General features: G+C 53.2%; 1 long non-coding RNA gene across 2 annotated transcripts in view, besides 1 other annotated feature; it reads left to right on the top strand.

Annotated features, from left to right (window-relative positions):
* MIR3667HG (MIR3667 host gene) overlaps positions 1 to 15,679 on the top strand; it is a 242,996-nt gene that overhangs the window by 54,772 nt on the left and 172,545 nt on the right. The window lies entirely within an intron of this gene.
* Positions 3,147 to 3,647: an enhancer, noted in NCBI's record as "H3K4me1 hESC enhancer chr22:49992749-49993249 (GRCh37/hg19 assembly coordinates)". NCBI's record gives its function as "activates a minimal SCP1, AML or CMV promoter by ChIP-STARR-seq in naive H9 embryonic stem cells {active_cell/tissue: H9 hESC(naive)}" and the evidence as "EXISTENCE:reporter gene assay evidence [ECO:0000049][PMID:30033119]".

Here is a 15,679-nt window from a genome sequence, read left to right as displayed (position 1 = left end):
GCTGGTGTCTGCTTGTCAGTATCTTGGTGGCATCTTGGGTCTCGCTGCGCTTTGCTGGTGTCCGCCTGCCAGTATCTTGGTGGCATCCTGGGCCTCGCTGCAGAGGTGCTGGTGTCCGCCTCCCAGTATCTTGGTGGCATCCTGAACCTCACTGCAGCGGTGCTGGTGTCCGCCTGCCGGTATCTTGGTTGTATCCGGGGCCTTACTGCAGCAGTGCTGGTATCTGCCTCCCAGTATCTTGGTTGTATCCGGGGCGTCACTGCAGCAGTGCTGGTGTCCGCCTCCCAGTATCTTGGTGGCATCCTGGGCCTCACTGCGTGGTGCTGGTGTCCGCCTGCCAGTATCTTGGTGGCATCCAGGGCCTCGCTACAGCGGTGCTGGTGTCTGCCTGCCCGGAAGCTGGCCCCTTGACTCAGTCGAGGGAAAGGGACATCAGATCTGCAGCTCCTGGTATTTGGTTTTAAGAAAGAATAAACGCCAGGGCGGCTTAGGGCATCACGCTCTGTGGATGGGAGCACCAAGCACAGCTCTAGAGCGTGGGGAGGAGGCTCCCGTGGCCATGCCTGTTCATGAATCCCCATAGCTGGTGGAATTTCACGCATCAGAAACAAAGGGCAGACGAGGGCAGTGCCAGGAGGAGCACAGGTGAGTGGCTCTGCGGCTCCGCCTCGCTGGGTGGGGCTTCCCAGGCAGGGAGGGGCTACACACCTGGGCGTCTCACCTGAGCCACCTGGGACAGCCTTGGAAGCCCATGTGCTTTCCCCCACTGCCCCTGCCCTCCGGGAATTCCAGGCAGCAGGGAAGATCCACCAACAGCTGTTCAGGGTAGAAGATCTACAAGGCAGTCATGGGCCCAAAGTGGGGCCTGTCAGGGCTGCGGGGGGCCGGGGGAGGGCGAGGAGACCCACACCAGGCTTGCTTCAGAGATCCAGGCTGGAAGAGGAGGTGCAGACGAGGAGAACGACGGCTCGGCCGTCCCCACGCTGGCCTCCAGAGTCCTCCCAGCGGCCACTGTGGATGTTGTTGTGTCTTCTCTGTGGGCCACGGGTGCATTTCTCATGCCGGTGAGCTGGCATTGATGAACACAGTGCTTGGGTTTGTACAGGGCCCAAGAGGCCCATTTCTGTTGGAAAAATGGGAGGAGTAGGATCTTAGATGCATCTGGAAATGATAGAGTCCCAAGGCCAAATTAATTTCCCATAGGGAATATTGTCAAGAAACCTTCTTACTCTCTAAATGGAGGCTGCATTAAAATGTGAGTTTTAGAGGGTTTTAAAATTCATAATTCCAAACGCCGTCCCGGCTGTGAGTGACGCTTGTGCAGCAGGGCCCTGCCTGCAGAGCTCGGGCCCTGGGGGCCGTTCCTGGGGTCTGGGGCCTGCACCTGGAAGCTGTTCTGGGCAGCTGAGCTTGGCACTGGCAGGGCAGCCTGCAAGTCTGTGTCTGGGCACAGACCCGGCTCTGCTGCCCCCAGACCCCTGAGCCCCCTGGCCTTGGCCTTGCTCCTCAGCCTCTCCTGCCTCAGCCTCCCGGTCTGTGGGGACAGGAGCACTCACTCTGCAGGTTGCTGAACAGGAAGTGGCTTCAGTAGTAAGTGCTGCAGTCTCTGCCCAGCTCACAGGAAGCTGTGGAGGCAGGTGGGTTAAGGCAGTGTCTTCCAGGAGCCCGGGGCTACCCAGACTCACTCCTGTATCGTTACCCAGGCAGCTCCCAGAGCCCCCACGGCCCACAGACTCCTCAAGGAGCTCCCATGAGGAGCTGGGCCCTGCGATGCACAGGCCCCGGTGACACGTCGTGGCGGTGGGGTCCCTCTCAGCATGGAGTTGGGGATCTTTGTTGCACAGCGTTGATGTGGTCAGGCGTCACTGGTGGGGCGTCTGTCGAATGGAAACCTAGAAAGATAAAGACCTTCCGGCCGGTTCTTCCCTCCTCCTGCCTCCTGTCTACTGGAACTCGGTTCCTTCCATTCCCGGGCATTTTCCAGAGGTTTGTGAGTCATGTGTTCCTTGCTCCCAGGCTCCTTGCCGAGCTCTTCATCCCGAGGGCCCCGCTGCTGGGCTGCGTTCCCTGCTGAGGGTCCTTTCCCCGCCTTCGCAGCGGGGCTGTGGACGCTGCGGCCCCAGGGCCTGTGTGAGGCCGCCCGCTCTTCACCCCAACACAACAGCCTGGCTGGGGCCTCGTGTCCTTCCCTCGGAGCCTCGGAATCCCCACCGCTCCTCTCAGAATCTGTGCTGATAAAGGAGGTTGAAGGTGGCCTTCATTTCAGTCCTTGGACATGGCTTCGTGTATTTAATATTTAGCCATGATACTCACATATAGTTCTTTTGACTTTTTTTTTCTGTTTTTTGAGACAGGGTCTCGCTCTGTCACCCACTTTGGGAGCCAGATGGGGCTGAGTCTCCCTCTGGGCATTCCTGCATTGGTGCGTGGGTTCCGGGAGGCCAGCCTCGCACCTCCGTCTCCATCTAACATCTTGGGCGAGCGCGTGGTGGAGGGAGGGCAGGTGGAGGAGTGAACCACACACAAAGGAACGTCAGGGGCCTCTGTAGCCCTGATGGGGTTCAGCCTCAGGTTTCCCTTGCACCCCATGGGGAAGGGGCTGAGCCTATGCCCTGACATGCTGCCCGGGGGCTGGGAGTGGTAAGGGCTCCGGTGGCTTTGCGTAATTTTTCTGCCTAGGGGGAGTGTGTCTCAGCAAGTGGACCTGGAGGCCTTGCCTGGGGTCCGAGTGCCACTGGGCGGGGGTGAGTGGACGTATTTGGAGCCACAGGCCTGGATTCCCATCCGTCTCTGAAGGAGGCCTCCTGCCGGCCCTCCCAGGCACGCGTGTAACATCCGTCTGTGAAGCAGGCCTCCTGCCGGCCCTCCCAGGCACGTGTGTAAGGGGAGGGCCCTTTCTTCACTCACAGGGCCTCTGGCACCACGCATGGGGGGTCCTCCACACCGAGCAGTCCTCCTGCTCTCCAGACACCAGCTGGGCATCCTGTAACTCAGTTCAATTCTCACACCACCTTACTGGAACTAGCACAGACCCCGCAGGTTAAGGGCTCAGTCCCATAAGAGTGCTCCCACTTTAGACGCCCATTTCAAGCAGTGGCTCCCAGGACATCCACACTTCTGTCTGACTTGAACAGTCGGGGTTCCCACACCTCTCCTGGGTTTGATAGTTTGCTGAAGCAGCTCACAGAGCTCAGGGACATGCTTTGCTTACAGTCGAGGGTTTGTGATAGGGGACGGGTGCAGATGAATGGGCAGATGAACAGGTACAGGGGTGAGGTCTGGAGGGATCCCAAGAGCAGGTTCCTCCTTCTCCATGCAGTTGGGGTGGCTGCCCTCCCAGCGCTCCAGCCGGAAGCTCTCAGAGCCTAGTTTCGGGTTGTTACGGAGATTTCATCACATGGGTGTGGCTGATTTCATCCTTGGCCGTTGGCAGTTCACTCCATCTCCAGCTTTCACCACTCCCTGGAAGTCAGGGTGGGGCTGAGCACTCTGGTCCTTCTGTCTCACAGTCGGTCCCCCTGCAGCCAGCCCCGTCCTGGGAGCTCCCGGTGACCCTTTCTCTCCTGGCTCAGTGCGCTTGCCAGACACCTGTCCACAGTTGCCACTAACAAGGGCCCCACTCACAGCTCAGCACTGCGCCAGATCGGCCGTGGAGGGGCCGTCGTCATTACTCATGCTGTTCCAAGGTCGGGACTCAGGATTTAAGGCGACTATCCTGGATCGCACAGCTGGTAGGAGGTGAGGGACCCTCTGTGGAGAGCTTGAAGCTGGCCTGGGGTCTCCCTCTGGGGCCTCAGCTCACCCTGCCCTGCCGCTGCACCCCCTGCCTGCTCAGTGACATTGCAGAGTGGGGTACCAGAGGGTGGTGCCCTTTGGCCTCATGGACCTGCCAGGTGCCCCTTAGGGGTGCAGCTCTTACCCTAGGACCTGAGTGGGGCTAATTACTGCGCCATATTCCAGAAATCACTCCTCCGGCGTGTGTGTCTGTGTGTGTCTTTGGAACAAGTGCACTAAAGTGCTAGAGGGGCCTGGGCTGCAATGCTCCCCTACAGGTGCCATCACCTCCCACGCTGGCTGATTTTGAGGCCCCCTGTGGAGCTGGGGGCAGCAGATGCCAGGAAGATTTGTGCGGGGGCAGACAGAGTGCTTCCTGGGCCTCGAATCTGCATTCCATGTGGGACCCAGTGACATGGGGAGCCTGCGGGGCCATGGCTGGGTGTTTTCTAGAGCAAGTGAAAGATGCAGCGCCGAGGGTTCCCACCTTTCGCCCAGTGACCCAGCTGTCCCTGTCTCCCCACACTGCACTGAGCAACCCTTAGGCACCCAGTGCCCCAGCTGTCCCTGTCCCCCCACGCTGCACTGAGCAACCCCAATGTGCCCCAAAAGAAACCCACTCGCCAGGTGGGCAGTGTGTCTCTGCCAGGCTGGGATAGAGTATATCCTGCTGTCTTCTTCTCAACGATCTTCCATCCACACACACTTAACTTAAAGCACTGGGGTTCTCCAGGATCAGAGAACTAGTCAGGAGGCTGAGCTGGTTCTTCCTTGTGCTCCAGAGATGGAATCCAGCAATGTCTGCGTTAATCTTTTCCCTGAGGGTAAAGATGCACTAACTCTACCTAGAGGCAGGAAGATGGGCAAAAGGAACTTCCCAATATTCTAGTAACTCACAAAGCTTTCAGCCTACAGTAAAACCCAGTGATCCTGGTACCTAGTAGGTGGCAAATGAATGACTAAACGGATGAATGAATGAATAAATGGAGGACAGAAGGAATGAGGGAATTGGGGATGGGGGAAGGGGCATGGAGGATGAAAGATGAGAGGATAAAGGGAGTATAGAGGGTGGGGTTGGAGGATGGGGGGGATGGGGAAAGGGAAAATAGCAAATGATGTCAGATATTTGCACAATGCCTTGTAAGTGTTGTGTGCAGCGTTTTCAGCATTATTGTGATTATAACCACCATTGTCATCACCATCATTATCATCATCATCATCATCACCATAGCCATTATCATCTTCACCACCATCACCATCACTATCATCATCATAATCACCATCATCACCATCACCACCATCACTGCCATCATCATCACCATGATCACCATTGCCATCATCATCACCATCACCAACACCACCATCATCACCACAATCACCACTGCTATCAACACTGCCATCAAATTACTATCATCACCATCACCACCATCATCACCACCATCATCATCACCATCACCACCATCATCACCATCATCCCCATCATCACCACCACCATCACCACCATCACCATCATCCCCACTACCATCACCACCATCACCATCATCCCCACTACCATCACCACCATCACCATCATCCCCATCATCATCACCACCATCACCATCACCACCATTACCATTATCACCAACACCACCATCACCATTATCACCATCATCCCCATCATAACCACTACCATCACCATCACCATTATCACCACCATCACCACTATCACCATTATTACCACCATCACCATCATCACCACCACCATCACTAACACCATTACTACCGTCATCACCACACTCATCACCATTACTATTATCAAAAAAGTTGTTCTGTTGCTCTGATCTAGTTAAGGAGTGTTTTAAAACTGAACATATGTGAGTAGAGCACAGCTTTTCCCCATTTTTCTTGCCATTAATATTTCTTTACTAATTTTCCATTTGCTTAATCATCTGTTAATGCTCCCTAGTGCATAAGAAATAATAGGCAGTAAGTTTAAGAAAAAAAATGTTGGGAGACACACAACATTTTAAAAAACTAGTTTTATTTCATTGTCTCTGCATCTTGGGTTCTGAGTGATATTTTCCTGCTTCCTGGAGGAATTTGGTTAACTTACAGCACTGGGGTTCTCCAGGGTCAGCGAGTTTGTCCTGCTGGGTGAGGTATAAGTTGACATCCAAGGAGTTCAAAATAGTGCAGTCACAACAGCTATGAGCCTCCAAATGACAGCACCTTTTTTTTTTTGTATGTATATATTGCTGGTTTCTGCCTGTGTAAGATACAAGGTGAAGAATGCTGAATGAATCCTGAGAGTAGCTGGGAGTCAGGTAGATCTGGCCTCCAGTGAGTCTTCTCCCTTCCCAGCTGTGCTGACTTCCAATTAATAACAACATCTGTCACCAAGATGCTGGGGGGGATTATGCCAGTGGGGAGAGCGCTTGCACAGAGTCAGTACCTCGTGTGTGCTCCAAAATGCCACTCTTATTGCTATGCAGAAAGAAAACACTCTCTGTCCTTGGGGGCAGGCAGGGACAAATGAGGTCAAGCTAGAGAGATGAGGTCTGAAGCTACTGCATCAGTAGTTAGAGTTGATATCAAAGGTGGCAACATGATGTTGCAGGAACAAATAAATTTGAGTTTGGATTACAAGCATCTGATGTTTGCATGTAGAGGACAAGCAGTTGGGTTTGCATCTCCTTGCCACTCTCATAGCACTAGTATGTGTGTATGGGTGGAAGATCATTGAGAGTAAGAGAGCAGGATGTACTCTACTGCAGTCACGAGAATCCCAGCAAGGTTCTGCCTGCCTATGAGCTGCCTTCTCTTTGTGGTGGGCAGGCCTCCCTGGTCCAAGTCCACCTCATGTGACTCCTGAGCATCCTTCAAGTATGTGCAGTTGCTCTGTCACTATCACCAACATCATCAGGATCACCTCACCACCATCATTATCACCATCATCACCATCACTATCATCTTCACCATCACTATCACCATCACCATCATCACCATATCATCATCATCGTCATCATCATCGTCACCATCATCATCAGCATCATCACCATCACCACCATCAGCATCATCACCATCACCATCATCGTCATCACTACCATCACTATCACCATCATCATCATAATCATTATCATCACCACCACGTCATTAACACCATAATCACCATCACCATCATCATCATCATTGCTACCATCATCATCATCATCACTACCATCACCATCATCATCATCATCATCATCACCATAATCACCATCACCATCATCATCATCACCATCACCATCACCATCATCACCATCACCATATCACCACCATCATCACCATCATCATCATCATCACTGCCATCACCATCATCATCACCACCATCATCACCATCACCATCACCATCATCGTCACCATCATTACCACCATCACCGTCATCATCCCATCACCACCATCATCACCATCACCATCATCACCATCATCATCATCACTATCATCACTACCATCAACCACCATAGCCATTGCCATCTTTGCCATCATCACCATCACCACCACCATCAATGCCTTCATCACCAGGTGAACACATGTCCTCATGGTCTGATGCTGTGATGTCTCAGGAAGAGGTTCCTTGCACTGGGAATGCATTTTAGATTCCAGTGTGTATGGCCTGGTGATTTTCCAAAGTGTTTGGAGCCATTTCTACTTCCACCTGCAATAAGGAGTTGGTTTCTTTGCATCCTGCCAGGACCAGATGCGGATGCGCTTTACACAGCTGCCAGCTTGAGGATGGAAGAAAAGCGCATTTCATCATCTGTTATCCTGTGTTTCTGTGACCATACTGAGTCCCGTGTGTCTTCTCATGCTGCTGGCTGTGTGGATCACCTTGTCTAGCTTGTTCTCACTTAAACTACTGGATGGGCTCTCTTTTCCCTTTTCACCATGTTTCTTCGCGACAGAGGCCGTCTTCTGCCCAGTTGCCTCCCACATTTCCCCAGTCTACGGCTTGGCTTTTGACATATGCTTCTTCTCCCCAGGTCATTAAAGACAGCTTTAAATAGATCCACGTGTCCCTGACAGCATTTGAGTTTCCTTCTTGAAGAAGTGTATATAAACATTCTCTTAAGTTTTGGGGTAATATGGTGAGATTATTTATTACTTTCAGATTTTAGTCTATCTCTAGTTTGCTTTTTAATAAAATACTAGTTTTGTTCTTTTTTTCTCCCACGTGGAGAGTCAAATATGGAACCAGAATAGGAAATAGCCATTCTCTTGCCAATTCATTTCTGGATGTTTGCCTGATATATATGTAAATTCAGGAATGTCTTTGAACTGACTGCTTGTCACCCTGATTTTTGCTTATGTTTTGCCTGTCCATGTGCCAATGCCACACTGTTTTGACAGTTAGAGCTTTATTGTAGCCTTTAATTTCTGGTAAGGCAATGTCCTCCTCAGTTTTCATCTTCAAAATCCTTTGTCATTTATATCCTGCAAATTAAGGAGGGTAGAGAGCTTTTCTTATATCTGCTTCTTCTCAACTGCTTTCAGCTCAAAAGAATACCTGGGCCAAAGTGGTGCATTATGGAGTGGCAAATTCCAACACCCTTCAGCAGGAAAGGCTGGCCCTGAGGGAGCTGGGGGGCCAGGGCCACTCGGCTGTCCTGGCGATTGCTACCTGGTCATAGGGTCTCCCATGAATGGTAGGAGTTGCATGCATAGTAGCCTTGTGTGGACAGGGCCCTGTGTGTGGTGGCTGTTATCACCACTGTCTGCAGTCAGCAAGAGGAGCTTCCACAGGCAGAGTAAGGCTTGGGGCTGGCAGGATGGGTGATCGGGCAGGGATGTGTGTAGGGAGCAGGGCAGACGAGGTCAGGTCAGCTGGGGACAGAGAAGGAAGGTCTGGGTCCGGGTCCAGGTACCATGCTGAGAACTCGGCCTCTCTTGCAGGCGGTAGGTGGTCTGAGGAGAAGACTCTGCTGAGTTCTATTTGGGAAAGCTTTCTTGGGATGTGGGGAGCCCTGTCACAGACCAGGGATTCAGACGTGCCAAGGACTCACTCAGAAACCTGTTTCTCTCCTGGATTGAACAAATTCTCTTTTGGTCTCCAAATTCTCTGCCCTGAGGGACATCTGTAGGGGAGGCCTCCTGCAGTCTCTGACTTCTGCTGCCTGGAGCGGTGAGCTCCTCTTGGCTTCAAGGGGGCCGTGGATTTCCTCCTGAAGATGCATTGTGCCTTCAGTGGGGAAGCTAGGCCAGGCACCTTCACATGGGAAGATGCCCCTCGCAGGCCTGGGAAGAGCCATTGGGCCATCCATGTGTGTCTCAGAGACCGCTCCCCCGCTCTGGAACTACGTTTCCTGTCCAGGGTGAGGTGGAGATTGACACAGGTGAAGGGTGCAGTGGCTGGAAGGTGCTCTGTGCTTTCATTTTACTCCCGGAAGTTTCTGCCACTTGAAGGGGTGCCCTTGGGTTCCCTTCTGAGATGCCAGCAGGGAGAGAAGCTCTTACCCAAAGACAAATGGCACAGACATGGCAACATCTGTGGGCTGGGCCTCCCCAGGCCCTTACAATGGGAAGGTGCAGTTACATCTCACTGGTACATTCTATTCCCACAAGACGGCCCTGTGTCCCCTAGAGGCCGGTTCACCGATCCTTCCTGGTGGAAGTCATTCTCAGAATGAGAGCTGCCCCCGGGCGTCTGCCTGGACACTGGGTGTCCTCTCCTGTGGACGGAGACACAGGGTATGAGGTCAGACGCTTCTGGACAGGAAACAGGTTTTAAACACCATGTACAAGTGACTCAGACTCACTGAAGCTGTGATGTATGTTTGTCTTTAGAGGGCAGTTTCAGCTGCAAGTTCCCTGTAGGAATCAAGGCTCTCCAGAGGAGCAGACCGGCCAGTGGCAAGAGGAAGTCCCAGAAGAACAATGGAATAAGGTCCAGTCCGAGGGCAGGAGAAGGCTGAAGTCCCAGCCTGAGAACAGTCAGGCTGGGAGAGTGAATTCTCCCTTACTCCTCCCTTTTGTTCTGGGGAGGCCTCTTCTAAAGATTGGACGGGACCCACCCACGCCAGGGAGGGCCCTCTGTTTGAGCCATCCACTGATTCAAATGCATCACAGCTGGGAAGGCCAGACCCACCTGTGAGTGAGCAGCAGACACTATGATGGAGGAGATGCTCCCTCTAAAGACACTTGGAGTGGGAAGCAGGGGTTTGGGAGAACTTCCTCGTCAGCTAGATGGGATTATTATTATTTATTTTAAGGATAGAGTTTCAAAAGCCACTCATAGCTATTGGTCAGACACTTAGGTGGAAATGGGAAGCTTTCTGCTGGTCTATAGATACATACTGGTCGTAGTGGCTTTGGTCCTGACCTGTACGGGAAGGAAAAGGCCTTCACATTCTATGGGATGACACTTCCCACTTCTTTGCATTGAGTGATGATGGATTTCAGAATGAAGGAGGGAAAAATTCATGGGCTCATTTTTAGGACATGGATCAAGGAACTTGTAATTAGACGACAATCCCGTGCCCTGTGTCAGTGAAAAAGAGACAAACTCTAAAATATTTGAAGGGATTTATTCTGAGCCAAGTACGTGTGACCAGGGCCTGAGGCACAGTCTCAAGAGGCCCTGAGGTCATGTGCCCAATGTGGCTGGGTCACAGGTTGGTTTCATGTATTTTAGGGGACAGAAGTTACAGGCAGACATCAATCAATGCATGCAAGGTGTACATTGGTTAGCTCTGGAAAGGCAGGACAGCTTGAAGTAGAAGCTTCCAGGTCATAGGTGGACTCAGAGATTTTCTGATTGGCAGTTGGTTGAAGGAGTTATTATGTAAAGATCTGGAATCAATAGAAAGAAAGGAATGTCTGGGTAAAGATAAGGGGTTGTGGAGACCAAGGTTCTTATTATGTCGATGAAGTCTCCAGGGAACAGGCTTCAAAGGGAATAGAGGGCAAATGTCTCTTATCAGACCTAAAAAAGGTGTCAGACTTGGTTAATCTCTCCTCCATCAGGAAAATTAGATGACGGGAGGGGATCTTTCTGGAAAGGGAAGGGGATTCTTTACAGAACACAGATTTTCCCCATGAGAGACCACTTTGTGGGGCCATTTCCAAATATGTCAAAGAAATATATTTTGGGGTAAAATACTTTGAGTTTTTTCAGGGCCTGCTGTCTGTCACGTGATCATGTTAGTTAGGTTGGAATTGGTACCTCATTGCTAAAAGAGTCTGTTTTTTCAGTCTTAAGGTCCTCGTTTCAATGTGAATGCCGGCCACCTGTGCCTGACTTTCCAAAGGGAGGAGGGTAGAATGAGGCATGGCCTGAACTAGTGTTTCAGGCTTACTTTGGAATCCCCTTGGCTGAGAGGAGGGATCCATTCGGTTGGTTGGGATCTTAGGATTTTATTTCTGGTTTACGCAGGTGTGCTGGGATCACCTTCCCATGCCATCTCCTTCTGGTTCCACATCCCCCACTGTGTCCCCAGGAAATGGCTACTTGTGAAAGCAACCTTGGAGAATACATTTTGACAATAAAATAAAGCTAGGAACAGTTCTCCCTGACTTTTCAGATTAGGGCATGAGAGGATCTTTCTAGCAGGGGCATTGGAAACATTCATTCCCTTCTTGCAGCTTCTCTGTCTTCCTCAGTAGGTGGTGGGGGCTGGTCAGGTGGACGCTATGTGGCCTCGTTTGGCAGCCGTGCACATTGTCCTGCAGCCGTGCATCTCCCCACAGCCACGCATGTCATCCTGCAGCTGTGCATCTCATGGGCCTGTGAGGCTTTGCCCATCCCTCCCCTCCCAGTCTCCTCCCGTGTGTGGACTCAGTGCTCTCTGGATCTCTGCTGTGGGCAGCCCTGGCCTCCGGCCGCAGGATCCTGAAAGACAATGAGCCTCCTTCCAGCAGAGCTTGAGTCCACGCCGGGGTCTGGATGCCCCACTCTAGACCGATGGAGAGACCCCCCCAGGTCCACGTCCAGGCACCACGTGCAGGGAGCAGGTCTGGGGCATCCCTTACCTGCAGGCAGGGGCCTGGCTCCACTTCCAGGCCAGCCAGGAGCACGTGGCGTGGGACCCTCCTTGAGGAATGGCCCGGGGATGCCTTTTAGGGAGCGGAAAGCTCTGTGGCTTGATGAAGGGCCATTGCTGCAGGAACCCTCAGAGCAGCCCTGAGCTCTTCCCAGAGGCACTTTCTGTTTTGCGACACGAATTTGCTCTGAAGCCTTTGAAACGCTTTCTTGTGAATAGAGAGGGGCTGACTTGGTGCAGCTATGGAACAGAAGCGGCGGTTTGGCTTTTCCCACGAGAACTTTCTGGGAAATCTGCTAACCGCCAACAAATGAGGTGCGGATTCAGTCTGCCATCTCCGGGGTGAAGGTCCCAGGGTGGGGGCTGCTTCCTGAGAGCGCGGAGGCTGCAAGGCCGCCAGGCTCCTTCCCTACCCCGAGCACGACTGCCCACCTGCAGCCTCCCCAGCCTCGCCCTGCAGCCTCCCCCGCCCCACTGCACCTTCAAAGCTGTTCTGATGTTTGCAACAGACTAATCTCCCATCAGAGCCCTCCCTGCGAGGAACCGCTTAACAACGTGGACAGAAGTAAATCTCTTGGTTCCATCCCATTTTGTGAAGGTTCTGGTGGAGGTCAGCATCAGGGTTTTCCATCAGAACAGAACCAAAGCTATGGGAATTTTTTGGATCTGAGGTTGTGAAGTGATGAGGTCTTCTCTGGGTGTTTTTTAGGGAGCCTAAGAACCCTGTTTCAGACAAAATAACATGGAACACTGCCCCAGGAGAGATGCGAGGTGGGGAAGAAACGCCTGGCTGTGCAGACCCTGTGTGCGCTGGACGCTCCACCTGCCGCCGGGAGCCGGGCAGAGCAGGGAGCATTCAGTGTCTCATCTCAAGGGCCCCGACCTCCAGCACAGACACATGCACTGGTCACGCCGGAGGGCAGAGCCCACAGGGAGAATTCCCGGCCCCAGCACTGCCGTCTGCGGCCTCTGCTCATCACAGACCCTGCTCGGGCCTCAGGCTGCTGGGAGGCATGGCTGAGCTTGGGCTTGCCTGGGCCTGTGTCCCGCTGGACTGCCAGGTCATGGGGGTGAGTTTGGGGACAAAGAGGGGCCGGATCCACGGGACGCGTGAGAGTGGGAAGAGAAGAAGGATGGCCATGGAGGGAGGGACAAAGGGAGGGGGTAAAGAGGCAAGGAGGCCCCGCTGGCCCCAGGCCCCACATGGCCACCCTCCCTCACACAGGTGTCTCCAGGGCACCCATCTCCTGCCCCCAGCACAGCAGCCTCTCCCACGGCCAAACCCCTCGTGTGCTCAAGGTGGCTGCAGCAGCCCCGGGGCTCATATCCCATTAAAATATCCAAAGGCAGGAGGATCAGCCAGGGCATGTTCTTCTTGGGTTTCTCTTAAGATCCTTGAGGAACTGCACTGGGGTGGCCGGATCCTACACACATCTTGTTGCTGGAGTCACTACGCAGACCTGCACGGGTCTTGGTGAGGAACGGGCTCCGGGGCAGCTGAGACTCTCTTTCCTCCGCTGGGTAGGCCCTGTGTGAGGCACTCTGTGAGGAGGAGGAGGGAGCTATGTGTTGTGTGGAGGGCAGTGAGAGGTGTTTGCGGCAGAAACCGGGGCTCTGCCACTGAGCCCCGACGAGGGGGAGCTCACAGAGGGGCCCTCCCCGATTTCGAATCACTCAAATAGGTAAAATTCCTTCACCTAAGTCAATTAAACAGTAGTTCCCCTGTAGTTAAACCTGAGGTGTCCCCCAAATCCCCGATCTTTCCATGGTGTTGAACCACATCCTTCCCTGGCCTGGCTTATCTGCAGAAGCATCGCTGTGCATCTCTTGCAGACGGGCCACTCACCATCTATTTTTCCAATCCCTCTTTCCTCTCTGTGTGGGAGTGATAAAGCACAGCTCTGACTCAGTTTCCCCACCCGTGGGGGACAGGTGGTGGCATTTCCCCAGGCTCTATGGGGCGGGCGTGTTGACCCGGGGAGGGACTTGGTCTTGGAGGAGTTCTGTCCGCACACGGGAACCGGGTCTTGTCGGCTGTGTGTGTTGCTTGGACTGAACCCATGGGTTGCGAAGGAAGCAGATGCTGGGTCCAGGGACTGGCAGAGCGTGTCCCACCACCCTCGGGGTCCTGCAGCCCACAATTTTCTGTTGTCACCTGCAGAACCACAAGAACTAATTTATTTGACACACAGCCATGTAATAAAGTATTTAAACGACTGTAGAATTCTCCATATTTTATTTGTTCCTCTTGGAGCTTATGACAGATAACTCAGATTTCATGAAATATATATTTTAAATGTCTTTCCCCACCGAAAGAGCAATTCCCCAGCATGTTAATTAGACGGGAGAGAGGAAACGTGACCACAAAAGCGTATTTATAATGCACCTTATTAATCACCGACTGTTTCCCAGAAAATAATTATGCTGGACAAATGATAATGTTTTGCTCTTCTAACTGTCTCTCCATTTATTCAGAACTCTGGTGCTTCCTATTTGGTATTCGATTAATTATTCTTCTTAGAAAGACAGATTGTTTGTAACTTGTCTCATAGACATTTTTTTGCTAATATGTCTCCCAGGAAGCTAAACGGGGGAAGCGTGTTGCATCTCTGAAGACCTCCTGACAGGCAACCGTCGTCCTCTGAGGGCGAGGAAGGCCAGGGCGACCATCTGGGCAGAGGGTCCAGGGTGGGGCTGGGGGCAGGGTCTTTGCTGGGAAGGACCCCAGCCATGCAGAAACGTGGGTTCCCAGGGGTCCCTCCAGCCACCTCTGTTTTTGGTACCAGAGGAGCTGCAAGCTGGCTCCCCGGAGCTCCAAAGTCCAGGCACCCAGAATCCCAGAGACCTGGCTAGGCAGAGTCTTTCTGTGTCCACCTCCCTGGCCTCATTCACCCCCGACGAGGCTCCAGCTCCCACAGGCGGGGCCAGTGGCATCCAGGTGCTGGCTTTCCTCCCTCGGCTTTAAGGCGAGGTCAGACAGCCTCGGACAGCCTTGATCATGTTCCAAATGTAAGCAAAAAAGAGACAAAACACTTTATTTTGCATTTCTCAACTGAAGCCACTTTAAAATCTACCCTATGGGAGTTCTCTTTACAGACCCTTGGTTCCTTTTAAAAAAAATGGAAAAACAACAACAACCAATTAGGCCCAGTTTGTCAAAAGTTTGTCACTATGTGGAGCATGGGGCCCTGGGTGGGTTCCCAGACCTGATGGACATGGGTTGGTGGCAGCTGCTGTGGAAGATTCTCCGTCTCACCCGACCCAGGAACAGAATCCGCACAGCGGAAGCTCTGGAACCGGTGTTTGCGGAAACCGACCAACGCCGCCCAGTCCTTCTGCTTCTCAGTCAGGGGTGGGAGCCAGGGGATTCGGGGCCCCATGGATACAGGAGCCATGCCTCCCTCTGCAGAAATCCAGAGATGGAGGTGCCCACCTGCTGGCCTGGGCTGGGGAGGGCGGGCCTGGAGGGGTGGGCACGGGAGGTGAGGGGCTGGCTGGGCTGAGAGCCCTGGGATGGCAGAGAAGCTGGGCTGGGTGCCCCGGGATGGCAGAGAACAGGCCTCCTCCTCTGGGTGCCCCTCGTGCCTCATCTGAGGCCTGCACACAGTTGGTGCTAAATCACTGACCTGAAAGAAAAAATCATGGACCTCGCTTCCCCTCCTGTGTTCTTCCCGCCCCACCTCGGGAAGGGTGGCCGGGGTGATCGCTATCCTCTCAGTGGCTGGGTGGCCCAGTGTCTGGAGAGGGGAGGTGCCCCTGCCACCACTGCTCCCTGGCTTGCCAGCTTCTGTGCTCTTCACCTCCCTCTGCTCTTCATCAAAGGCAGGTCCTTGTTGTCGCCGAGGCGTGGGACCACCCAGGCGCCATCTGGAGGCCAGTCCCAGGCTTGTCGCACGCCCTCCTGATCCTCA

This window comes from Homo sapiens, chromosome 22 (genome assembly GCF_000001405.40).
Source record: "Homo sapiens chromosome 22, GRCh38.p14 Primary Assembly".
NCBI lineage: Eukaryota > Metazoa > Chordata > Mammalia > Primates > Hominidae > Homo > Homo sapiens.
This window is presented reverse-complemented; position numbering and strand designations above follow the sequence as displayed.